The following is a 26,827-nucleotide window of genomic DNA, read 5'->3' as shown; positions in this document are numbered from 1 at the left end:
AATGATGATTTCCAATTTCATCCATGTCCCTAAAAAGGACATGAACTCATCCTTTTTTATGGCTGCATAGTATTCCATGCTGTATATGTGCAACATTTTCTTAATCTGGTCTATCATTGTTGGACATTTAGGTTGGTTCCAAGTCTTTGCTATTGTGAATAGTGCCGCAATAAACATACATGTGCATGTGTCTTTATGCAGCATGATTTATAGTCCTTTGGGTATATACCCAGTAATGGGATGGCTGGGTCAAATGGTATTTCTAGTTCTAGATCCCTGAGGAATCACCACACTGACTTCCACAAGGGTTGAACTAGTTTACAGTCCCACCAACAGTGTAAAAGTGTTCCTATTTCTCCACATCCTCTCCAGCACCTGTTGTTTCCTGACTTTTTAATGATTGCCATTCTAACTGGTGTGAGATGGTATCTCATTGTGGTTTTGATTTGCATTTCTCTGATAGCCAGTGATGATGAGCACTTTTTCATGTGTTTTTTGGCTGCATAAATGTCTTCTTTTGAGAAGTGTCTGTTCATGTCCTTTGCCCACTTTTTGATGGGATTCTTTGTTTTTTTCTTGTAAATGTGTTTGACTTAATTGTAGATTCTGGATATTAGCCCTTTGTCAGATGAGTAGGGTGCAAAAATATTCTCCCATTTTGTAGGTTGCCTGCTCACTCTGATGGTAGTTTCTTTTGCTGTGCAGAAGCTCTTTAGTTTAATTAGATCCCATGTGTCAATTTTGGCTTTTGTTGCCATTGCTTTTGGTGTTTTAGACATGAAGTCCTTGCCCATGCCTATGTCCTGAATGGTAATGCCTAGGTTTTCTTCTAGGGTTTTTATGGTTTGAGGTCTAACGTTTAAGTCTTTAATCCATCTTGAATTGATTTTTGTATAAGGTGTAAGGAAGGAATCCAGTTTCAGCTTTCTACATATGGCTAGCCAGTTTTCCCAGCACCATTTATTAAATAGGGAATCCTTTCCCCATTGCTTGTTTTTCTCAGGTTTGTCAAAGATCAGATAGTTGTAGATATGTGGTGTTATTTCTGAGGGCTCTGTTCTGTTCCATTGATCTATATCTCTGTTTTGGTACCAGTACCATGCTGTTTTGGTTACTGTAGCCTTGTAGTATAGTTTGAAGTCAGGTAGCGTGATGCCTCCAGCTTTGTTCTTTTGGCTTAGGATTGACTTGGCGATGCGGGCTCTTTTTTGGTTCCATATGAACTTTAAAGTAGTTTTTTCCAATTCTGTGAAGAAAGTCATTGGTAGCTTGATGGGGATGGCATTGAATCTATAAATTACCTTGGGAAGTATGGCCATTTTCACGATATTGATTTTTCCTACCCATGAGCATGGAATGTTCTTCCATTTGTTTGTATCCTCTTTTATTTCATTGAGCAGTGGTTTGTAGTTCTCCTTGAAGAGGTCCTTCACGTCCCTTGTAAGTTGGATTCCTAGGTATTTTATTCTCTTTGAAGCAATTGTGAATGGGAGTTCACTCATGATTTGGCTCTCTGTTTGACTGTTATTGGTGTATAAGAATGCTTGTGATTTTTGTACATTGATTTTGTATCCTGAGACTTTGCTGAAATTGCTTATCAGCTTAAGGAGATTTTGGGCTGAGACAATGGGGTTTTCTAGATATATAATCATGTCATCTGCAGTGTCTTCCTCATTCTCTTTTTGCCTGCTGCCATCCATGTAAGACATGACCTGCTCCTCCTTGCCTTCCACCATGATTGTGAAGCTTCCCCAGCCACGTGGAATGGTAAGTCCATTATAAGCCTCTTTCGTTTGTAAATCGCCCAGTCTCAGGTATTTCTTTAACAGCAGCATGAAAATGGACTAATGCATCATGTAATATTTATCTTTCTGTGCCTGGCTTATTCAACTTAACATAATGTCCTCTAGGTCTATCTATGTTGCTGTAAATGATAGGATTTCATTCTTTTTAAATGGCTGAATAGTATTCCATTGTGTATATAAACCACATTTTATTTATTCATTGATCTGCTGATGGGCACTTAGTTTGATTCTCTATGTTGGCTATTGTGAATAGTGCTGCAATAATAATGGGAGTGCAAATATCTCTACAACATACTGATTTTGTTGTCTTTAGATAAATACAGGCATACCCCAGAGATATTGTGGGTGCAATTTCAGACCACCATAATGAAGCAAATATTGCAATAAAGTGAGTCACAAAAATGTTTTGGTTTCCCAGTGCATATAAAGGTAATGTTTACACTGCACTGTACTCTATTAAATGTGTAATAGCATTATGTCTAAAAAATGTACATGCCTTAATTTAAAATACTTTATTGCTGGAAAATACTAATGATCATCCAAGCCTTAAGCAAGTCATAATCTTTTTGCTGGTGAAGGGTCTTGGCTTGATGTTGATGGCTGCTGACTAATCAGAATAGTGATTGCTGAAGGTTGGGTTGGCTTTTATAGCATGTACATTTTTATATACCATTTCTTAAAATAAGACAACAATAAAAGTGTGCCACGTCACACTTTCACAAAAGATTTCTCTTTAGAAATGTGATGCTGTTTGGTAGCACTTTACCACAGTGCAACTTCTTTCAAGACTGGAGTCAATCTTCTCAAATGCTGATGCCACTTTATCAAGTTAGTTGATGTAGTATTCTAAGTCCTTTGCTGTCATTTTAACAATGTTCAAAGCATCTTCCCCAGCGTTAGATTTCATCTCAATAAACCATTTTCTTCGCTCATCCATCAGAAGCAACTCCTCATCTGTTCAAGTTTTATTGTGAGATTGCAGCAACTCAGTCACATTTTTAGGCTTCACTTCTAACTCTAGTTCTCTTGCTATTTTCACCATCTCTGCAGTGACTTCCTCCACTGAAGTCTCGAACACGTCAAAGTCATCCCTGATGGTTGAAATCAACTTCTTCTATACTCCTGTCAATTATATTTTAAACTTATTTCATGATTCATGAATGTTTTAACAGCATCTAGAAATGGTAGAATCCTTTTTAGAAGGTATTCAATTTACTTTGCTCAGCCCTAAGAGAAATCATTATCTGTGGCAGCTATAGCCTTATGAAATTTTTTTTCATTTATAATGGAAATAGGTCTATTTGGCTTACAGTTCTACAGACTGTTAAAAAAAAAAAAAAAAAAAAAAAGCATAGTGCCAGCATCTGTTTCTGGTGAGGGCCTCAATAAGCTTCCACTCACAGCAGAAGGCAAAGGGGGAGCAGGTATATCACATGGTAAGAAAGGGGGCAAGAGAGAGGTGGGAGTGCCAGGCTTTTTAAAAAAAACCAAATCACATGTGAACTCATTACCATGGGCAGGGCACCAAGCCATTCATGAGGGATCTGCCCCCATGACCCAAAACTTCTCACCAGGCCCCATGTCCAACATTGAGGATTACCTTTCAACATGAGATTTTGAGGGAACAAACATCCAAACTGTATTATTCCACTCCTGGATCCCAGAAGCTCATGCTCTTCTCACATGGCAAAATGCAATTGTACCTTCCCAATAGTCTCCCAGTTTTAACCATCTCCAAGATGGTTTAAAAAGCATTTAAACCAGTTTCCAACAAGTGAGCTTTTAAAGACAAAGTACTTACCAAGTATCAAGCACTGACAAATCTCAGTCCCTGGATGTGCACTAATTATAATTCGACTTAGAATTTTATTATTGACACACACTTAACTCTCAGGGACAAAACTGCAGTTAGTTTGCTTGCAACAAGCCTTGTCTCAAAGATTAATGACTCAGCAGTGGTAACTGCTGGACCTCAGCTTAAATAGATTTTAAAATAACCATCCCATTATCTAAAGAAATACATACCAGGCAGTAGATTTGTTTAGTCAGTGATGTTAGGGCAGGAGAAAATGTGTGTGTGTGTGTGTGCACATGTGTGCGCATGTGTGTACATATGAGCTTGGAGATGAAAATATTAGGTTTTTGTATTTATAAATATCCAAACTACAAAGAATTATTCTAAAAGAAATGAGAGTACTCTCCCAACAATCTTATTAATAAGATATTGGTCAACGGCAGAGTTATTTCCCTATTAATGCCTCTGTTGGTTTTCTGAGTATTTCTGTTTTCTTTGCATCTCACTAGCATCCAAATGTCATTTTTGCTCCTTCAACCCTCAAACAAACTGAAAAGGAGTCTAAGAAACTGCTGATCTAAGCGTGAACTAAAATATGCCCACTTGCAGATCACTTCCTGTGTGGGTAAAGGAATGGAGTAGAAGGGACTCAGTGCTGGGCTGCCCTGAGTGTGGATGTTTCTAATACCTGTGGGATCCCTAGCTTTCAGCAACTCCAAACTTAAGCCCCATGAACACAGGATGGGAGAGCTGTATACCTTGTATGGGGAGAAGGATAAAGGGAAAACTTTCCCCACAATTGAAGTAGAAGTGAACATAACAGTTGGAATTTCCTTAGGAGCTTGTGTGGTAGCACAAACAGTACCATTGTCACATGAATTTCTTAGCAGTCAGAAGAGTGTCTCTTAGGTGGTTTATCAAAAGAACGCATGAAGGAAGAGGCTTTAAAGCATTCACCTATACATGGAATAACCATTGATTCTTACCTCTCCAAAGCAGATTACATTACTCACTACTAGCAATAGGCCCTGATTTGAAATCTGCAGGCACTAAAAATTGAAGGAGTCCCACTTAGGACCAGCATACGTTCTGCAGTATGCTAACTAACGCTTTGGGAACGAGTGAAATACACAGCTACGGAATTGATACTGGGATGCAATTCTAGCAGACTAGTGACCGGAAGAAATGTGATGAGGTCCATCAGTGGCCATACCTGGATCACATGGCTGCTGGAAGCAGTGACGGGAAGAGCACTGGATTCAAGATCTGGTTCTACCCCTTGCACTGTGGTTTTGGGAAAATTGCCTAATAATCTTGAGCCGCAGTCACCTCCTCCACAGAACAAGGTTAATAATAATGACTACCATTTACTGAACTATATACAAAACACTGTTCTGAGAATTTTTTCATTCTTTTATTCTTACAATAGCCCTAGGAAGTAGATACTATGATTATTCTCATCTTGGAGAAAAGGAAATGGCACAGAAGGGTAACTGGAGACTAGGCAAGGAAACAAATGAACTCAATAGAGCCCCAGCCATCAACTCATGTCAGGCTTGTGGTAAGTCTGACATGGAAACAAACAGGAGAGGAATGTTACATTAACTCTATCTAGAATAAGACATGTCTTTCCTAAATTAATCAAACAAAGATTATTTGCTTCAGATGACTTCTAGGGTAATAGATAAATACACAGGCTATGGAACCATGGTAGATTGTTGGCTGAGTCAAATCCACCTCCTTCACTTACTGAGTTACACAGAAATTAAATGGATTATATAATTTCCTCATTTGTAGAGAGTAGGGGTAATAATAATGCTGGCTACTATACAGATTTGTTAGAATTAAATGTATAAAGGTAAATCATTTAAGGCATACTTGGTGAATGTTATACACTAAGTTTATTGTGACTAATTGTTCAGTGCTGACTTGAGTGTTGTGGGAGACACATAAATGTGGTGGATAGCCCCTTGCACAGGAGACAAGCCAAGGTAATATATCCAAGATAACATAGCATGAAGAGCTTGGAATGTGGTATAAGTGGTAGGCTGGGGAATTGATGCTGCTGGCAGGAAGCCATCACTGAGAAGATTCCTGGGTGAATGTGGATAGAGAAACGGAGGCCATTAAAGAGGTAGTGGCAGCAAAGAACTGCTGGGAGGAGCTGGCAGATGGCATCCATACAGAGGGGACAGGTCATGGGAGCAGGCTTGCTTTGTAGGCTGTCTGCAAGACAAAATTAAATTGGACACATATTCTTTTGAGAAAGGATAGATCTTTGAAAGTTCTCAGAAAGTGTAGTTCTTAGAATTTGCTTTATAAGGAACATAAAAAAAAAAAAGTTGTGCCCTGTGCCTGTTTTTAAGTCACTTTTCCAACCATCTCCTCCCCTAGTAATTCTGACTGATGAATTCAATCATCCTGATGCATTCTATTAGGAAAAGAATTATAATAGCCTTTTTTGTGTTGAGCTTTGTGGAAATTTCAGAATAACTCCAGCTTAATAACTCCATATTTTCATCTTAAAAGCTAAAAGAGATGTTCTTGAACACCACCTGTTCAGAGTCCAGCTGTGGCTTTGTAGTAGAAACAGGTGCCTCTACAAATCCTTCCGTATTTGCAAAGACAAAGTTGCACATTAACCAATTCTCAGATGTTTTAGCACTTCTTAGATTTGGGGGACTCAGCAAAGTGAAATTTTACAAGCTGATTCACATACAATAGCCATCTGAATGGCTAGCTTCCCTTACCAAATCATGAACTGGCTTCTCTCTCCACCTGATTCAATTAACTGCTAAGAAAATCAAAGACCAAATCACTGTAAGATACATTATTCTTGCAGTTCCACTTGTCTCACTGCTCATGACTCATGCACCAATTAAAAATCTCCTGGGAGAATCTTTGTTAATCACCTCAAGTCAGTGTGAAGGAGATGCAACATGCTTGCTGGCCTGTTCAAACACCAGTCACTCAGAGGCTCCTACAGGAAAGGTAATAATGCTCTGTGTTTAAGATTTATCTTGAAGAATAGTAACAATTATTAAGTGGATAAAAGATAAATAATTTTCTAAAAACTGAAACAAGGCCTTCTCATCAGTCTGTTTGGAATAGCTATACTGTAGTTTTTATTAATTAGGGGAAAGTTACAGGTGAACTTCTCTGGATCACTTTCATTCTCTCTGTGTGTGTGTGTGTGTGTGTGTGTGTGAACAAGTGCAAGGCAATGGTTCCCAAACTTTAGTGTGCATCATTGCTTGTTTAAATGCCCATCACTGAGCTTCATCCCGAGTTTCTGATTCTGCATGTCTAGGGGCAGGGTGGGGGGACCCGAGAATCTGCCTGTCTGACAAGTTCCCAGGTAATGAATGCTGAGGCTACTGGGAACCACATTTTTAGAACCAGGGGTCTAGGGAAGTCTAATACAACAAGGCAAGTGTCAACTTACACAGCCTGCAAATGTTTAAAAAAAAAAAAAAGGAATTGAGGCAAGTTTTGCTTCTTTTTAAACCACTAATATTTTAGCTTCAAATGCCAATGCACATCTCAACAATCACTGAGTAATTAATCTTCTTTCAACAATATTGAAAAGTCAATATTATATGTTCGATCCAGGACAGAGAGCTTTGGAGTGTAAGGAGTATATATGTGACAGTGCTGCCCCAAAGGAACTCACCAACTCTTTCAGTTTAGGCAAAAATTCTAGTTCAAAGGGCCTGAGTACTTGCATTTCATCCATCTTAGCTGAGATTCTGTGCCAGGTGCTGTCAAGGATGCACAGCAGAACACACAGATGAAGTTCTGGGTCTCTCTTCTCTACAGACTCTCTTCTTCCCCTCAACTAGTAGGCCAGCAGGAGTGATTAGTTCATTTGGATGCAGTTTAAAATTATAATTCAAGTGCCTGGAGGTACAGCCTGGCCCACACTGTCCACTTCTCAAAACATTGGTCACTTGTTATTGAATAACATTTGCTGCTTTACTTGTGTGTTTCTTGCTTGAAGACATCTACGTTTGCAGCTCCTCCTCCACCTCTTGTGCCTTTCTCCCTCCCTTTTATAGGCCAAACGCTACCCTTTCTGATCCTCAAACATGCTCTTCCCTCAGCCTCCTCACTCAACTCCTACTCATCTTGTCTCCACTTGAATGTCTTCCTCATGGGAGTCTTTTCTTGAACCCTACCCCAGCATTTTCCTTTGGAATACTCACCAATATGTAATGAAAGGTTTGTCTTACATCTATTTATCCTGCTAGATTTCAGCTCCTTGAGGGCACACGTCATCTGTCCTGTCCACTAGAGCATTCTTAATGCTTAGCCAGTGCCTGATGGAGGAAGACACTCTGAGACAACATGACCCTGGAACTCACTCAGTCCCCCAGATGACAAGCTGCACCAGAGTGTATCTTCCGACAAGAGTGATGGCTTCCCAGTTAAAGGAGTTACAATGTCCAAAGGTCCTGGTAGGTCCCTAGGTGGCAAGATGTTCTTATATTTGCTCTAGAAAACTGTCCCTCCAGCACAGTATCCTGGTCCTGTCTCACCTTTCATGGAAACAATGGCAAGGGGATGGGGGAGTAGTGCCTTTTTAAATTTTTTTACTTTCCTATGCCTGTAAGTTTTCTGCCTCCTAAAGAAATCTTGGCTTTACGTTATATTCTGATGACTCCCACATTGACATCTATAGCTCTGACCTCTTCTCTGAACTCCAGACTTGCATGCCGCTACCCTCTCCTACACATCCAATAATTTATCTCCAAGTATCTCAAACTTCCCTGTCCAAAACTGTTTTCTTGATCTTGTTCACAAACCCAGTCTTCCCAAAGACTTCTACTTCCTCCAGAAAGTCTTTAAGCACACTCTTTCCTCAAATACCAATCATTTTGTTTCTACCTTCAACATATGTCCAGCGTCTGACCACCCCTCACCATATCCCGCAATGCTACTGCAATCCTAGCCTCGCATGGTTTACCAAATTAGTTTCCTAGCTTGTTTCCTTGCTTTGCTTTTTGTCCCTCTCTAGCTCTTTCTCAAATACACAGAGTGGTTTTGGTAAACCCTAAGTCACAAATCAGGTCATCACTTGGTTCACAGCCCCTCAAATGCTTCCATCTGAAGGTGAAATCCAAAGTCCTTCCCCGTATGTGTCCCCTCCTGCCACATCCTCTCTGCTTTTACTTTCTTCTGCTTACTATGCCATCCACACTGCCCTCCTTGCTGTTCTCTGACAGCAGCCTCCACCCTGGGGCCTTTGCACTTGACATTCTCTCAGCCTGCTACACTCACTCAGACATCTGCATGGCAAGCCTCTTCCCTTCCTCTCAAGGGAGGCCTTCTGCCACCATCCTTGTTTAAGTTATACTACCATTGTGACCACCACCACTCCCTATTGATTTTTCTCCACAACATCTCTCCTTGGGAAGGATAAGTTTCATGGAAAGGATAGCATCTTGCTTGGGTGCTTAAAGGTGGGATTGTGATTAGGAAAGCAGGGATAACAGAAGTAAGGTAAGGCAGATAGCAGGTAGCCAGCAAAAATGGTCTCCCAGTGGTTACCTGATGGTGTCACTACACTTTAGCGTAGGCTCTAGTACTGAGTGGTGTCAAAATGGACACCCTGACTACAAAGTCCTTTCTTTTTGGGCAAAGATTAGCATGCTTGCTATTTGGTGTAGCTGGATTAAAATGCCCACATTGTGGAAATGCCTTTTCTTTAAAGCAGAAATCCTTTTGGTACCTAGGACTGGGAAGGAACAGAGTAAAACAAAAACTACTGATGAAGAAAATCCCTTTCCTGGATGGAAAGGCTTAGCTCAGTGTGAAAAAATACCTACAGGGCAAATTTGGAAATCCTCACCAGGGCCAGGTCTTCTCAGTCTTGGGATCAAAAAGTGATGTCTAAATTAACTTATAAAAATGGTTATCAAAAACACCAAAAAGAGTTCTATATTAATCATATCAATAAAGTACTAAAATTCCAGAGGGATCCTTCTAAGTGAACGAGAATATTTAGCTGTGGTTTTGTTTTCATATTGAAAAAATGATCTAAGTATACTTAGCAATATTCAAAAAGGATATGTCAATCAAGAAAAGCACATCAAAGCAAATGAATTATTTTTCTCCATTCATTTTGAAACAGCTAACAGTTCTCTTGTATAAATCTAACAGTTTTGTCCTTGTGAGAGCTGTGCTGCTTAAACTTTTTCATAGCCTTTACAAAGCTGTGGATGATAGGAATTGAGCAAATATTTTCCACAATAAGAAAAAATCTGTAGAAAGCTGCACCAGTCTTAACATTTACAAAGATTATACCAGACTATTAATAATTCTCATCATTAATCATTGTCAGAAGCTAAATATCATTTTGTTAACCACTAATCCGAATCAAAATTATTCCAAAAAGAAATATATATATAATATATATATATGTATATATATGGAAATCCCCCCCACCCTGTACTTCTATGTGCTTTGAGCACAACTTGTATTCATCAATTCATCTTCAGATCTAGTTTTTTATTACAAAAGACAACTATGCTTACAAGGTGAATTGAATTACAAGCCTTTTACTACTTTTTGGTGAGTTAAGAAAAAGCTATTTAATCTAACAAAGTTTCACTTTAGCACTCAGCTAAATAGAAATTTCGAAATTTTATTTAAAGATATGATAAAATACCATATGGCCCTGGTTTCAAGAGAAATTCATTTAATAAGTTGTGTAAATGAGTTTATTAGTTAAAGTGAACTTACAAAATCTCTGTTGGTTTTATAAACCAAAGCAAACTAGTTCATTTGAATTGCTATGTGCCCCCCTAGCATTTTTAAATGCAAGACAATGTATTTGTAGAAATGATCATTCTTTCTCAGGGAATGCTAATTTACCATGCTCCCATGGTAAATTCTACAGGAAACTTTCATGGAAAATGTCAAAGTTAAGGAAAGTTTAGACTCAAAAATAATAAATTTTTGGTAATGATAGTTTTTGGAACACGTATAATTCCATTTACATTCTCAGCTTTTCAATTGTATTTATCTGAAAATTAGTTTCATAAAATGTTACATGGTTATAACTCAATATTACTGTATAAAGTATTTGAGAAATGTCTGGTAACTCTCTTGTGATTAGGTAACTTCATGACTCAAACCTCCTGTTACTGTTTTGATGCTAGCTAGCACTTATTAAGCTACCTTTTAATGAAAAAAAAAAAAAAAAAAAACCTTTTTCAAAAAGCATTAAAAAGATCCACCATTTCATTTTGAAGATGGAGAAAGCAAAGTAAGGGTAGGTTAAAAGGTCTGTCAGATTGCATGGTCGAGTCTCTAACAAGATAAGTAATTCTTTTGTATCAATTCCTATTACCTTGGAAAACACTGGGCTCTACCAGGCAGGTGATTCCTGTTCATATTATCTAGGGCCAACTAAAGTAGAAATTAAAGGAAACCAACTATAAAATCCATGTAGAAGAGAAAAATAAGCAGCTCTTCATCAACTGCAAATTTTAAAAGATTGATTAGCTCTTTATGTGCCCAGCTAAATATGCCATTTAAACTCAAGGACCAAGCTTATCTCATGTTTGTTTTCTTCAAGTGGCTGCATATAAATAATGGCTACAGGCAGAATCTACTTCACAAGTATATAATCTAGCCACAACCAAATCATAATGGCACCAAACTCATACCTTTTTACAAGAGGAAAGTTTTAAATTGACAGTAAATGAACTCCGACATGAGAGGATGAAAAGAAAACACTCAGCATACAGACACACACAAACATATTCTGAAAGTGCTTCACATTACACTGTGCATTTACAGACATCGCAGGGACTGATGGACACAGAGTAGCAATTGTTTCCTTATCACCTCCATGCTTGATCACATGCCATTCTGTGCCATCCATTTTATCACCTTAGGTCCCAGAAGACTCATAAGACCCAAGGCCTGTTTCTCACATGATTCCTTAGGATTCTGTGAGCTGTTGATGTTACAGGTCATGCATGGCAATCATTGGACCAATGCCACACAAGCTTAGATGTCCTCCACTCTCCAGTCAGAAAGAACACACACAAAATTCCTTATCAGACAGTTGGCAAGAGTACATGGAAAATGGATTTTTATGTCACATACATTAGGAGAAGATCCCTGGCTTCAGGGCAAAGTTTAGAGGAACAGCACATACTTACTGAAGACTAAGTGGATTCCAGAGTTCATCATTGGCTAGACTGATACTATTTTACATTTGTGTTATAAAAGGTGGATATTTAAGAAGAGTGAACATATGACCGTACATTTATGAGTGACTAGCAGACAACTGTTTCCTGAGTCAGTCAACCTGGGTTTTACTGTCCTAAGACAAAATCTGAATTTAAAGAGACCAAAACTTTCAACAAAAAAACCACATATTTTTATAAAGAAAGATAAAAGAAAGTCTCATAATCATGATTCTGTATGCTACTCAGGCATTGAAAAGGTACCCTCAATGAAATTACTTTTCACCATTGGTTTCAGGATATAAAACAATTAAAATTAGAACACACTAAAAGCTGCACTATAGTTCATGACATCTGCATGCCACACAAAAAATCAAAATGTAGTCTCACATAGGCTGATCATACTAGAGTATATTTATTAAATTTCACCATTATGATCACTTTGTTATAACTAAATTAACCCTGACATAAACTTTGACATTTTAAAAACAGAGAACATACTGATTTTTCAACTATTTTACTTACATGTGTTTTTTAATTCTCATGCAGTGCTCATAATTAGGAGATACTACATATTCACCCTCACATTATGCTTATTAAGAACCAAGCTCAGAGGGTAGAAAAGTGCCAACTTCATTTTCCATAAACTTCCCATACATATATTAAGCCACTGTTCTTCTAATTATATACTTATGGTACATTCTTCTGTAAAATGTATAACTGTAGTCACATAACCATTGTTATGACAAGGCGGCAACATCATTTCAGATTACAACAAATGAGACCAAAAGTTGAAGAGACCACAGCATATAAAAGTCATGAGAACACCACACACATTTCAATATTTTCCACTTTCCAGTCAAAAAAACATGCACAAAGTTTTCTTAGCAGATAGTTGTCAGAAGTGCATAAAAAAACTGGCTTTCAGGTCATATATGTTGAGTGAGGATCAATGCCATTGAGGAAAGAGAGCTGTGTTCATTATCTTTTAGGTCTGTCTATATCATCTATAGCTGCTAGAAGTTTTTGTCTTGCTTTCTTATTGATATGGGATCCCAGGCAAACATTCACCAGATTGGTCAGCTGCTTCGTTGAATATTCCTGCTCAAAGAAGAAAGATCCAAATTTAGTACCCTAAAAGGAATGTATCTGATCAGTGCAACAAAAGAACAGGCGGATATTCAGGTGCAGTGGATAGTTACTGAGCATTATAAACCAGTGAAAAACAGTGGAAATTACAGTTGGGACATGGAAGGCAAATTGTTTACTGAGCTGTAATAGGAGAGAATAAGAATACTATAGTACACATTTGAAACAGTAAGCACTAGAATCTGTTTTAATATGGCAAAGCAATCTGACATGCGTATGCTTCTTACTGCTTTGATGATCACACACTTTACACTTGTTTCTGTAATAGTCTTTGTTATTGAGTCATCAAAATACACTGACATTTCAAATTTTTTAAATGCTACTGATGAAGTATTTTTCTGGCCCTCTACATTTTGTAAACACTTTAGTTAAAAAAAAAATCTCCAACAACAGAAGAACAACTCTTCTAAGATACAACAAATGAATAAGGTAACAAGGATCACAAAGTCAGGGAGCTGCAAATAAAATTAAGACTACGAGTATCTTTCGCAATCCAAATCCATCTGGTTCCTGAATTTTAGATACTGAATTGCTAGGATGAGAATAAACAGGGATTCATCAGAAATTTCTGCAGATTGACTTGGTACTGGAGGTTGAATAGCAAGAGTTCAGATAGGGAAAGACAGCTGTGTACTATTATCTAATAAGAAAAGAAAATGTGTCTTTATTGAAGGTAACCACTAAATATAGTACAATTTCAAAATAGGAGAAAGAATTGATTTTAAAAACTTGGCAAACTGCTCAGCTTGTGTATCTGATCTCTGAGAGCACCTGTCCCCGCCTGGTAAGTAATCTCATTTAACCACTCAGCATTCAGTGAGGATCCATCGTCAGTGATCGCTGGACTCATCATTGTGGGAAGTTTCCTTCAAAGACAGAAAAGAGTCCCTGCTGCTGCTGGGGAAATGTCACTGAATTACAAATATCAATCAGTTAAAGCTCTTTCAAAGTACTAAGTTAAAAAAAAATCAGTCTACTATATTAAAAGAGGAAATTCAAAAAACGGGCATCATTCTTGCATCGAATAGAGCTGTGCCTTTCCTCCTTGGCTACTTTGTATTCTTTCCCAAAACCCTTTCCTCAGTACCAACCCAGAAGTGTTTACAGCTTACTTTACTAAATGGATTCTAGCAACATTAAGCAGTCTATCTGCATCTAGGTTTAACATTTTGGTTATCAAATGTCAGTGGGGCTAAACGTGGTGAAGTTTTTCTCAATCTGGCTTTACTGGTCGAACTCATTAAAAATAACACATACATTCCTACTTTGCTTCTAAAGATCCGAAACTGAGTAAGAGTGGGGACATTCACACAAGATTCACGCCAATGTGAATGTTCTAGGCTAATGCATTTTATCTCTTTACAGTGTTAAGGCCAGAAAGGATGAGTCTGAGCAGGTATATACAAATAATTATTTTCTTACCCAAATGAAATAAAACTTGACTTAGCTTTTACCCATGACATTCATAGGTTAAGAAAATGTAAATCCTAGAGTTATCAAAGCAATGAGGATTTGGTGATAATTTTAACACATGCCATATACAGAAAAGCTTCCCATACCAAGCTCACTGAGTTGAACTGTGTCAAAAATTCGGCATCCTACGTAACAATAGTATTTTTCGTTATCTATATAGTCATACAAAAGAAAAATAATCAAATCTATATTAAAGGTAAAATCTAATGTAAGATGTAAGTTAAGTTTAGCCATTTAAATATTAATGTCTTCACTCATCACTAATACGTGTCAGTGTGTAGGATGTTACCATTTCATCGTTGAGGAGTACGAGAAGGTTTGTATGAGAAGGTTTAAGTTACATAATCGATTATGGCTTATGAATCATTTCATTGTTTCTGTATTCAATCTGTCTCAGTATTTATCAACTTCAGCCTTTTCCTATAACACAGTTGCAGGAAAAATATAGCTAATGTCTTGGCTTTGGCTGTATTTCTAGATCATTACAGTAACAGTTCACAAAGGGCTGAAAAAGATTTGATGAGTCAAAGGGCACTGCTTAGATACGGTGCCCTTAATCTGAATAAGGCAAAGAATTGACCTAAGTAGTTTGTATTAAAAAAGCAAATGTTTCTTTATATTTCACTCTCATGATTTTGAATTAAATAACACACCCAACAAGAACAGCACAAAGAAAAAGGAATAAAAACTTAATTAACTATTTTCCAGCTCTCACCCTGTGCTCTTTGATCCACCGTTCCATGTCATTCTCAGTTAGGTAATAAGCTTTAATATAAGTTTCTACAAATTCTTTATCAGGAATGGGTCTAATATCTGTTAGTTTTTCAAGTTTCATTAAAAACTGTTGAAAATCCAATTGCATCAGGGCACGACCCTCATTACTGCATTTCTTGACATTGGCATATCTAAGATGCAAAACAATAAAAAAAAATACATTATAGGATAATTAGAAACAAAAAACTGTCAGGTATTTGAAGTTTTCTCTAACCTATATTTGGACAGATTCCCCAGAAATGAGAGGGTTATAGGAAATAGAGAACATAAGCCTTGAGTCAGAAAGACTGGGTTGTGTTTGTGCTCTGTCATTTTACCTATGCGGGCCTCAGTTTTCTCATTTGCAAAGAGATCCAATGAGTTCAAGTCTCTTTGTTGTTCTACAGACCACGGATCTCTGTATTCAATCAACATAATTGTCTGTAAGAAAGTTAAACTGGTATTCCAGTTAATCTGGCTGCCAAGAGTTACTTTATAAAAACTAAGCTTTGAATACTTCAAAGTAATCTTAGTTTTATAAAACTGTTCAATATTCAATGCAATGCAAAAGAAACAAATGAAATAATTCTCCCATGAACACTCTGAAAACATAAAGAAATGTGTAAGCATGTAAGCATAGAAAGTATATATATATTTTTCATGATAAAAAGCTTATAGACCTATTCTGATATTCTACACTACTGAAACAGTGTGTTTTAAGGTGGACTAAGTAATAAAGACAAATATACAAACCCTAACAATACAACACTTTATTGCTCATTAAGTCAATGTTTCATTTCTTCAATCAATCATACAGAACATGGAAAATTCAACTGTGGGAATGAGGTACTTACCTTAAGGAAAGTTGCAAGAAAATAAAAGCTTATTTTATTTAAAATGACCAAGCTTTTTTTTTTTTTTTTAAAAAAGAGTATTTTATACAGAAGTATTACATATATTATTCACATTTCGACTTAAACAAATTTATTTAAAATACTCTTCATTCGTGATTGCTGACACAGCCTTTTTATAATTTATAGCACTGCTGGTTTCAATACAGAGTGCCACGACTGTTGTCAGCTTGTCACTGTCATCTTCCCACTTTCTAATACATTATTTTGTATAACAAATGAGAACAAAAGAAAAATCAGACAAATGATAGTGTGAATATTCAACTGATGTGCAATTCTAGAGCACTGTACAGGGTCTTTGAAATAGCTGTTCGCTTCTCAGGGATATTTCAGATGTATTACTGATCCTTATTTGTATCCTAGATGTTATGGGCAGAGTAAGCATGGTCTCTGAGTAAGTGGGAAAATTACTATTAATAGATCCATAACTTCAACACATGAAAGATTTATAGAGTTTACAGTGATATGATGGTGATTATTATTAATGATGATATAAGGGTTACGAGGGCTGATTTTACCACCAGAAATCAGGAGTATAACCAGGCATGGTGGCTCACGCCTGTAATCCCAGTACTTTGGGAGGCTTAGGTGGGCGGATCAACTTGAGGCCAGGAGATCAAGAACAGCTTGGCCAACATGGTGAAACCCCATCTCTACTAAAAATACAAAAAATTAGTGGGCATGGTGGCACACACCTGTAGTTTCAGCTGCTCAGGAGGCTGAGGCACAAGAATTGCTTGAGCCCAGGAGGGAGAGGCTGCAGTGAGCCCAGATTGCACCACTGCACTCCAGCCTGGGCAACAAAACAAGACTGTCTCAAAAAAAAAAAAAAGAAAGAAAAGAAAAGAAAAAAAGAAATCAGGGGTACATATGCCTTTAAAAACTGTGTGAACTTAGATAAGTTACCTAACCTCTTTAAGTCTCGGTTTTCTGAGACTAGGTTTTCTCATTGATAAAACAGAATCATAGTACCTACCAAAGAGAGTTTATTTCAGGTTTGGTGACATAATCCTGTGAAATGTTTGGTTTGGTAAATAACACATAGTTAATGCTCAAAAAAGGTTAGGTATAACAATCATCACCATCATAATTTTATTATTAAGTAATAATGTTAGTTTAACTTTCAGATAACCATTAGATTCTGCATTCCTCACTCATCTACTAGCTGGTTCTATGCCACTAGCAAGAAAAGAAAGCAGAGACAGAGACAGACACAGTGGGGTCTAAGGTTTCTTCTCTAATTATATCCCAAACTTGTCTGCTAGTTGTTATTATTTCTACTTATTCTCTCCAACCATTAATACCGTATGTTATTCATATATTACAATTTGTCATTAAAGAAACAAATAATGCTTTCATGAAAAACTTACCCTTCTACAATAGTTCGATTAGCCAATCGTATACAATGTTCCCAAAGTATATTAGACACAGGCAAGGGTATGCGAACTCTCTTAGAAACTTCATTTAGCCTCCTGTTAAACTGCTCAAATTCCTAAGAAGACAAATAGGTAGCTGTTTGTGAATATCATTAAAATGCCACAATGCTTTCCCATAAAAATTGTTTAAATAAAAAAGATTTAGAAAGACTCAGAATCAAACCAAGTAAAATCAAAAAAGATAATGCCAAAGATAATTTGGACTTAGTATGAAGGCCTTAAAAACATATATGCACTAGTTTAAATAGATTATGTTATAGTACAGAGTACACTACATTTTATCGCAAAAGGAGTAAGTGTCATTAACTGATTAAACAATGTTAACAATGTCCAATATCTCAAAATTTTCTATGGTTGTCAGTACAGATGAATAGAGCTGAATGACCTAATTTGGCTTTAAAAATATCTTCAAGAAACCCAGGTTTAAAAACATGGTTTGACATGCGTTCAGTTCAGAACTATTTGTGATTTGTATCTATACTCTTCAGAGTGCAATCTAATAAATTATCACTTTTCCTAAACACTTTTTAAAAATAAATAATGATATGGGTTGAGGATGCCTTATCTAAAATGCTTGGGGCCAGAAGCATTTTTGGACTCTGGATTTTTTCCAGTTTTGGAATATTTGCATTATACCTACTGGTTGAGAATCCCAAATCTGAAAATCTCAAACCAGAATTCTGAAATGCTCCAATGACCAGTTCCTCTGAGTGTCATGCTGGCACTCAAGAAGTTTTAGATTCTGGATTATTTGAAATACTGGATTTTCGAATTTGGGATGCTCAACCTGTATACCAAATGATTAAAAAATCATACTCTAGCTGCAAATTTTTAGTACAACGGAAACAATAAAACATAGTTTCTATTACCTACAGAAAAACTGAATATTTTTATTGTCTTTTATGACATGATCATACTAAAAATATAAATACATATACCTGATTTAGACAACTCCAATAATTAGACGGAAAGAGCAGAAGGTTTAGCCTTCAATGGATGTGTTTTTGGTCTCTTTGGACTACTGCTATTTAAATATACTCATTTACAGAAGTAAATGCTGTTGACTGTTCCCTGGCAATATATTTCAAATATAAGAAGACTTAAAATGACATTTTTCTTTAGTTACCTGAATAGAGAAGCTACACAATGTTTAACAAGACTGACGTGTTCAACTTTTCTAATAATACACAGGAGAAAAAATCTAATCTGATCACCACTCAGGCTAATGACAACTGTGTTATCCTCTGCTCTTTTGCTACTTCCTAAATCACAATTTTTCTTGCTAATTTATTTTTAACAATTCGTTGCTTTTAATTATTAAAAAGAAGTGGATTGTCAATTCACAAAATTTACCTTTGAAAATCAAAACTATACAAATAATTGCTCTTTGTCTGTTGTTTCATTTCATGGATCTAGGAGAGTAGTAGTATTTGTTACTGTATTTATTTATGCATTCCTTAAACTGCTTTGGATTTCAAGAGTCATAATTCAATATTTTTCATCAATATTTTATTTAAAAGATAAAGCTATATGTATAAAATGCTTTGTGTACAAAATAACATTCTACTTATTGCTAAATTAAATGCTCAAAAATGCTTGTTATAAAATGAATCATACAAACATTTCATTTTTCTTATGATTCTTTTGGGGCAATATAAGCAGATTGTTTAGATTTAGATGCTTAGACTTAGAAAAGTAACAGAAAGAACAAAAGTTATCACAGATAATTAACCTTTATGCTTAAAGAAGGCCTTAAGCTGCTAAAAATTGGGCTCAGGTTAATACTCTGAGTAACACGAGTTCTTTCTTATAACTGGAATAACAAATAACTGAAACAAGCAGCCTCCTCACAGCATGTGTATCTGTTGAGCACAGAAATCTTTTTTTCTTGCACCCTATAAGGATCATGGTTAGTATGTTCTATGGTCTGAATGTTGTATCCTCCCTAAATTCATATGTTGAAATCCTAATCCCAGGGTGATGGTATTGGGAGGTGGGGCTTTTTAAAAGTGATTAGGTCATGAGGGCCAAGCTCTCACCAAGGGAATTAACACCCTTATAAAAGAGCCCCAGAGAGCTGCCTTGCCTTTTTTACCATGTTAGGGTACAGCAAGGTGACATCTATGAGAAATCAAACCTTCACTAGACACCAAATCTGCCTGAGCCTTGATCTTGATCTTGAACTTCTCAGCCTCCAGAACGGTGAGAAATAACTGCTCTGCTTATAAGCCACCTAGTCTGTGGAACTTTGTTGTAGTATCCTAAAGGACTAAGACAGCATGTCATAAAAAATAGAACCATTTTTTCAAAAACAGAATTGTTAAAAAAAAAAGAAGGGGTATCATTATTTATAAATTACATTCATCTTTTACATTCCAAATGAAAATTTGCAATTGAAATCTCCTGGGTGCTCTAGAAACCAAGTTATTTCTTTGATTCTCTTTCAAGGTCAATGGTCTCTGAATTCCAGAGTGGCAAATATAGAGCACCCTTGGTGTCATTCCCCGCTAAGATCTCTATGGAAACTCCTAGCAATTGGTTACTGATGTTGGCACAATTAGTCCCGGAGTCTGGAGACAGCCTCACAGTCTTCAACCTAGGCCTCCAAAGGGGACCATAAATTGCTGGGAGTTGGGTGACTGAAGGAACTCCATTACCATCTCTATTTTAAATCTATGGCTCTGTTCATTGGTTCTCAGCTGTCCTAGGCTCTTATTTGTTGACTTGGTCTAAGCAGGTAAGAATGATTGTGTAAATGAGATTAAAGTAAGGAGGTTAAGAAGGGACAATTTTCTTTTCATTTACAAAAATGAAAACACATTTTTCCTGAAAGTTACTTTCATTTTCTCAGATGCTCTTTCCACACTTTATTTCCTTACTTCCCTCAGGCCTCATCTCCAGTCTCACCTTATCAGGGTCCTTCTCTGAGCATGACAATACATGGTCTTCCTCTTCCACTCACATCCTGTCATTCTCTATCTCTCTTCAGATGATTTTGCTTTTTTTTTCACAGCATTATTCATCATCTGATATTATATCTCAATTTACCTGTTTACTGCTATCTCTGCCCTGGCATGTAAATTCCTTGAGGGCACATAAGTTCCTGAATTCACAGCTATACTGCCAGCACTTCTATCAGCGTGTGACACATATCAGGTGATCTACAGATATCTTATTCATGCATCAATGAAAAAAAACCACAATTCTTTCCAGGAAACATATAAACACAGGTCATTGGCTCCAAAGAGGTGTTTGTATGACACACTGCAAAAGTAGTGTGATTTTTACCCCGAATAATCAGAGGCATGGTCTCTTGCTAATGAATATTATGCTAAACTACAGAAATAATTTCTAATTAAACAGAAATATCTTCTTGTCATTATAGTGATGGCTACTGAGATTACATAATATGAAAGTCAGCCACGACATACAACAACTCAAAATGGGAAATTAGTGAACAAAGCTAAAAAATCTACGACGTATTCTTAGAGCTAATAGAAGACAAATTCAGAAAGTAAGCCTATTTCAATTCAGGGGCTTTAATACCACAATGCTAGAAATGTGGTAATAACTATAATCTTACTATTTTAGAGCCACTGCAATAAAGGAACACTTCTCTTAGTAGATTGATCTTTAGCACAGGTGCTTCCCAGAACACTTGCCTTTAATAGTGCATCTACATATATGTTGTGCTGTGACATAATTTCTTTTACATCCCATTTCACATTAGCCATGAGAAGCAGCATCTGTTCATAATCAAGGGCTTTACCAGCTACAATCCAGTAAATTGGTTTCCGTAGTTCACTGGCGGTTGAGACTGTCTGAAATAAATTTCACAAAAATGAAAACAATTATTTTCTAAAAGTATCATATTGATAAAGAATACTTGCCCCTGTTTCCAGTATATATCATATCTGAAAATAAAACACTATATATTTGGAGATTTAAATTATGATGAAAATAATTTGAATATTTGAGTGAAGGCAAAGGCCTTACTCAAAACATAATTTTGAGACATTCAATAAACTTGAAGCCATTGACACTGCAACTGTCAAAGAACTAGAGCTCTTCATGTAGCCTAGCAATTACTTCTCAAATTCTTCCACTTCTCTCCATTTCCACTCCCACTACATGATGTCAGGATTCCACCATCTCTCCCCTGCAATACTGCAGCAGCCTTCAAATTAGTTTCCCTGTCTCTAGGACTGTCTACAGTCCTTTCTTCCACAATGCCCCCAGAAAACTAAAACACAAACCCAACCATGCCACTCACCTGTTTCAAACCCTCCAGGAGCTTCCATGCCCTCCAAATAAAGTCCAACTCCTGAAGCAGGGTGCTTTACATGCCAGTGGTTCCTGCTGATTGCCCCAGCCATCTTTCTCATCCCCAGACCTCCTCCCAACTCTAACAAGCTTTCCTCAGCTGTTTGCATGCACCATGCTCTTTCTCACCTGCAGGTCTTCAGACATGCCATTCCCTTTGTCTAGAATCCATCCCTCATTCACCCTCTCTACCCTGCTGGTCCAGTTTAAACATTACTTCCTCTAGATAGCCTTTCTAGATGACCTTCTCCCACCCAAAGCCTCTCCCCTTCTCCAGTCTGGGTTAAATACACTCATGGCACTTTCCCCTTACCACAGTACTTATCATGCTTTATTTTAACAGTTTTAACTGATGCTCTCTCTCTCACTAGTCTAAAAGTTACATGAGGTGCTCGATAGTATGTATTTAATGTAGGAATTCATGAGTGAATAAATGAATATTTTATCTGGCTCTCCTGGGGTTTCAAGACTGACTTCCAGTTAAAAAAAACAACAAAAAATCTAAATAATCTGTGACAGTCCTATCTTCCTCACAGTTGAAATGACATACAAGACCATGTCTGACCTGAGAATAGAACTGCTGAAGAAAGGGCTTTTTGACTGCAGGCATCACAGCATCCAGATGTGGCTGAAGGAACTCAAACTGTTCAGCCAAGAATACCCTAAAGGGAATAAATAACCCACTGTGTAAACAAATTGTGTAGGATTTAGAGCCTGTCATGCTTTCGTATAAGTATTTTTTAACATTTCTGAGCAAAACTTTAACAATAAAAATTACTTTCCACTTTAGTGGACGAACCTGTACTACCACTTGACATGTTCATTTATAATCTACACAATAAATAATGCTGAGTTTATGACTGAATGGAAGTTGAGGTGAAAGAAGAACAACTTCAAAGGAGCCAAGCAGCTTATGATGAGGTGTAGTCATGTGCTTCAAATGTAAGATGTGAGCCCAGAGTAGCAGGTTGAAAAAAGAACACAAGGGTATTTTTTTAAAGGATTTCTTTTAAAGATCTCATTCAGTTATACACAACAGACTCTTGAAATCTCAGATTCAATATCTGACACTTTTCAGAAGTAACCCCAACATTCCTAATAGGCAGCAGACTGTAACTTGGCTGAGTATCACAGATGAATGACAGGTGCCAGAGGCTGGGTACAGGAATGGGAGTCAGTGGGCTGGTGAAGGAGCCTGGACTACTGCCTGCAGTTGCACTGCATCCAGGCACTGTCTTTTTCTGCTTTTTCTTACTAATGCAAAAACTCTTATGTTATATTGGACTACATTTTATAGAAATGCCAAAGAAGTTATATGCGTTAATTGTATTACTAACTTTAGGGATTTATAAAGGTCAGGAAGCATTCTTTTTTTTTTCTTTTTTTTAATTATTATTATTATAATACTTTTTTAGGGTACATGTGCACAATGTGCAGGTTACTTACATAGGTATACATGTGCCATGCTGGTGCGCTGCACCCATTAACTCGTCATCTAGCATTAGGTATATCTCCCAGTGCTATCCCTCCCCCCTCCCCCCACCCCACAACAGTCCCCAGAGTGTGATGTTTCCCTTCCTGTGTCCGTGTGTTCTCATTGTTCAATTCCCACCTATGAGTGAGAATATGCAGTGTTTGGTTTTTTGTTCTTGCGATAGTTTACTGCGAATGATGATTTCCAATTTCATCCATGTCCCTACAAAGGACATGAACTCATCATTTTTTATGGCTGCATAGTATTCCATGCTGTATATGTGCCACATTTTCTTAATCGAGTCTATCATTGTTGGACATTTGGGTTGGTTCCAAGTCTTTGCCATTGTGAATAGTGCCACAATAAACATACGTGTGCATGTGTCTTTATAGCAGCATGATTTATAGTCCTTTGGGTATATACCCAGTAATGGGATGGCTGGGTCAAATGGTATTTCTAGTTCTAGATCCCTGAGGAATCGCCACACTGACTTCCACAAGGGTTGAACTAGTTTACAGTCCCACCAACAGTGTAAAAGTGTTCCTATTTCTCCACATCCTCTCCAGCACCTGTTGTTTCCTGACTTTTTAATGATTGCCATTCTAACTGGTGTGAGATGGTATCTCATTGTGGTTTTGATTTGCATTTCTCTGATGGCCAGTGATGGTGAGCATTTTTTCATGTGTTTTTTGGCTGCATAAATGTCTTCTTTTGAGAAGTGTCTATTTATATCCTTTGCCCACTTTTTGATGGGGTTGTTTGTTTTTTTCTTGCAAACTTGTTTGAGTTCATTGTAGATTCTGGATATTAGCCCTTTGTCAGATGAGTAGGTTGCGAAAATTTTCTCCCATTTTGTAGGTTGCCTGCTCACTCTGATGGTAGTTTCTTTTGCTGTGCAGAAGCTCTTTAGTTTAATTAGATCCCATTTGTCAATTTTGGCTTTTGTTGCCATTGCTTTTGGTGTTTTAGACATGAAGTCCTTGCCCATGCCTATGTCCTGAATGGTAATGCCTAGGTTTTCTTCTAGGGTTTTTATGGTTTTAGGTCTAACGTTTAAGTCTTTAATCCATCTTGAATTGATTTTTGTATAAGGTGTAAGGAAGGGATCCAGTTTCAGCTTTCTACATATGGCTAGCCAGTTTTCCAAGCACCATTTATTAAATAGGGAATCCTTTCCCCATTGCTTGTTTTTCTCAGGTTTGTCAAAGATCAGATAGTTGTAGATATGTGGTGTTATTTCTGTGGGCTCTGTTCTGTTCCATTGATCTATATCTCTGTTTTGGTACCAGTACCATGCTGTTTTGGTTACTGTAGCCTTGTAGTATAGTTTGAAGTCAGGTAGTGTGATGCCTCCAGCTTTGTTCTTTTGGCTCAGGATGGACTTGGCGATGCAGGCTCTTTTTTGGTTCCATATGAACTTTAAAGTAGCTTTTTCCAATTCTGTGAAGAAAGTCATTGGTAGCTTGATGGGGATGGCATTGAATCTGTAAATTACCTTGGGCAGTATGGCCATTTTCATTATATTGATTCTTCCTACCCATGAGCATGGAATGTTCTTCCATTTGTTTGTATCCTCTTTTATTTCTTTGAGCAGTGGTCTGTAGTTCTCCTTGAAGAGGTCCTTCACATCCCTTGTAAGTTGGATTCCTAGGTATTTTATTCTCTTTGAAGCAATTGTGAATGGGAGTTCACTCATGATTTGGCTCTCTGTCTGTTGTTGGTGTATAAGAATGCTTGTGATTTTTGTACATTGATTTTATATCCTGAGATTTTGCTGAAGTTGCTTATCAGCTTAAGGAGATTTTGGGCTGAGACAATGGGGTTTTGTAGATATACAATCATGTCGTCTGCAAACAGGGACAATTTGACTTCCTCTTTTCCTAATTGAATACCCTTTATTTCCTTCTCCTGACTAATTGCCCTGGCCAGAACTTCCAACACTGTGTTGAATAGGATTGGTAAGAGAGGGCATCCCTGTCTTGTGCCAGTTTTCAAAGGGAATGCTTCCAGTTTTTGCCCATTCAGTATGATATTGGCTGTGGGTTTGTCATAGATAGCTCTTATTATTTTGCGATACATCCCATCAATACCTAATTTATTGAGAGTTTTTTGCATGAAGGGTTGTTGAATTTTGTCAAAGGCCTTTTCTGCATCTATTGAGATAATCATGTGGTTTTCGTCTTTGCTTCTGTTTATATGCTGGATTACATTTATTGATTTGTGTATATTGAACCAGCCTTGCATCCCAGGGATGAAGCCCACTTGATCATGGTGGATAAGCTTTTTGATGTGCTGCTGGATTCGGTTTGCCAGTATTTTATTAAGGATTTTTGCATCAATGTTCATCAAGGATATTGGTCTAAAATTCTCTTTTTTGGTTGTGTCTCTGCCCGGCTTTGGTATCAGGATGATGCTGGCCTCAAAATGAGTTAGGGAGGATTCCCTCTTTTTCTATTGATTGGAATAGTTTCAGAAGGAATGGTACCAGTTCCTCCTTGTACCTCTGGTAGAATTTGGCTGTGAATCCATCTGGTCCTGGACTCTTTTTCGTTGGTAAGCTATTGATTATTGCCACAATTTCAGCTCCTGTTATTGGTCTATTCAGAGACTCAACTTCTTCCTGGTTTAGTCTTGGGAGAGTGTATGTGTCGAGGAATTTATCCATTTCTTCTAGATTTTCTAGTTTATTTGCGTAGAGGTGTTTGTAGTATTCTCTGAAGGTAGTTTGTATTTCTGTGGGATCGGTGGTGATATCCCCTTTATCATTTATTATTGCATCTATTTGATTCTTCTCTCTTTTTTTCTTTATTAGTCTTGCTAGCAGTCTATCAATTTTGTTGATCCTTTCAAAAAACCAGCTCCTGGATTCGTTAATTTTGTGAAGGGTTTTTTGTGTCTCTATTTCCTTCAGTTCTCCTCTGATTTTAGTTATTTCTTGCCTTCTGCTAGCTTTTGAATGTGTTTGCTCTTGCTTTTCTAGTTGTTTTAATTGTGATGTTAGGGTGTCAATTTTGGATCTTTCCTGCTTTCTCTTGTGGGCATTTAGTGCTATAAATTTCCCTCTACACACTGCTTTGAATGTGTCCCAGAGATTCTGGTATGTTGTGTCTTTGTTCTTGTTGGTTTCAAAGAACATCTTTATTTCTGCCTTCATTTCGTTATGTACCCAGTAGTTATTCAGGAGCAGGTTCAGTTTCCATGTAGTTGAGCGGTTTTGAGTGAGATTCTTAATCCTGAGTTCTAGTTTGATTGCACTGTGGTCTGAGAGATAGTTTGTTATAATTTCTGTTCTTTTACATTTGCTGAGGAGAGCTTTACTTCCAAGTATGTGGTCAATTTTGGAATAGGTGTGGTGTGGTGCTGCAAAAAATGTATGTTCTGTTGATTTGTGGTGGAGAGTTCTGTAGATGTCTATTAGGTCTGCTTGATGCAGAGCTGAGTTCAATTCCTGGGTATCCTTGTTAACTTTCTGTCTCGTTGATCTGTCTAATGTTGACAGTGGGGTGT

The 26,827-nt window shown here is 37.2% G+C and overlaps 1 protein-coding gene across 4 annotated transcripts in view; it reads right to left on the bottom strand.

Moving 5' to 3' along the window:
* Positions 1-10,095: 10,095 nt before the first annotated feature.
* Positions 10,096-26,827, bottom strand: part of VPS50 (VPS50 subunit of EARP/GARPII complex) — a 128,758-nt gene continuing 112,026 nt past the window's right edge. For all 4 annotated transcript variants that reach the window (NM_001257998.2, NM_017667.4, XM_011516395.3 and 1 more), the window contains 5 exons: positions 22,412-22,508; positions 21,186-21,344; positions 17,458-17,579; positions 15,139-15,328; positions 10,096-12,902 (listed from right to left, as the gene is read on the bottom strand). In NM_001257998.2, coding sequence (NP_001244927.1) covers positions 12,783-12,902; positions 15,139-15,328; positions 17,458-17,579; positions 21,186-21,344; positions 22,412-22,508 — 688 coding nt within the window. In that variant the 3' untranslated portion in view covers positions 10,096-12,782. The remainder of the gene's footprint in view (positions 12,903-15,138; positions 15,329-17,457; positions 17,580-21,185; positions 21,345-22,411; positions 22,509-26,827) is intronic.

This window comes from Homo sapiens, chromosome 7, assembly GCF_000001405.40.
Source record: "Homo sapiens chromosome 7, GRCh38.p14 Primary Assembly".
NCBI classification, from domain to species: Eukaryota; Metazoa; Chordata; class Mammalia; order Primates; family Hominidae; genus Homo; species Homo sapiens.
Note: the sequence above shows the minus strand (reverse complement) of the source record. Positions and strands in the feature narration are given on the sequence as shown.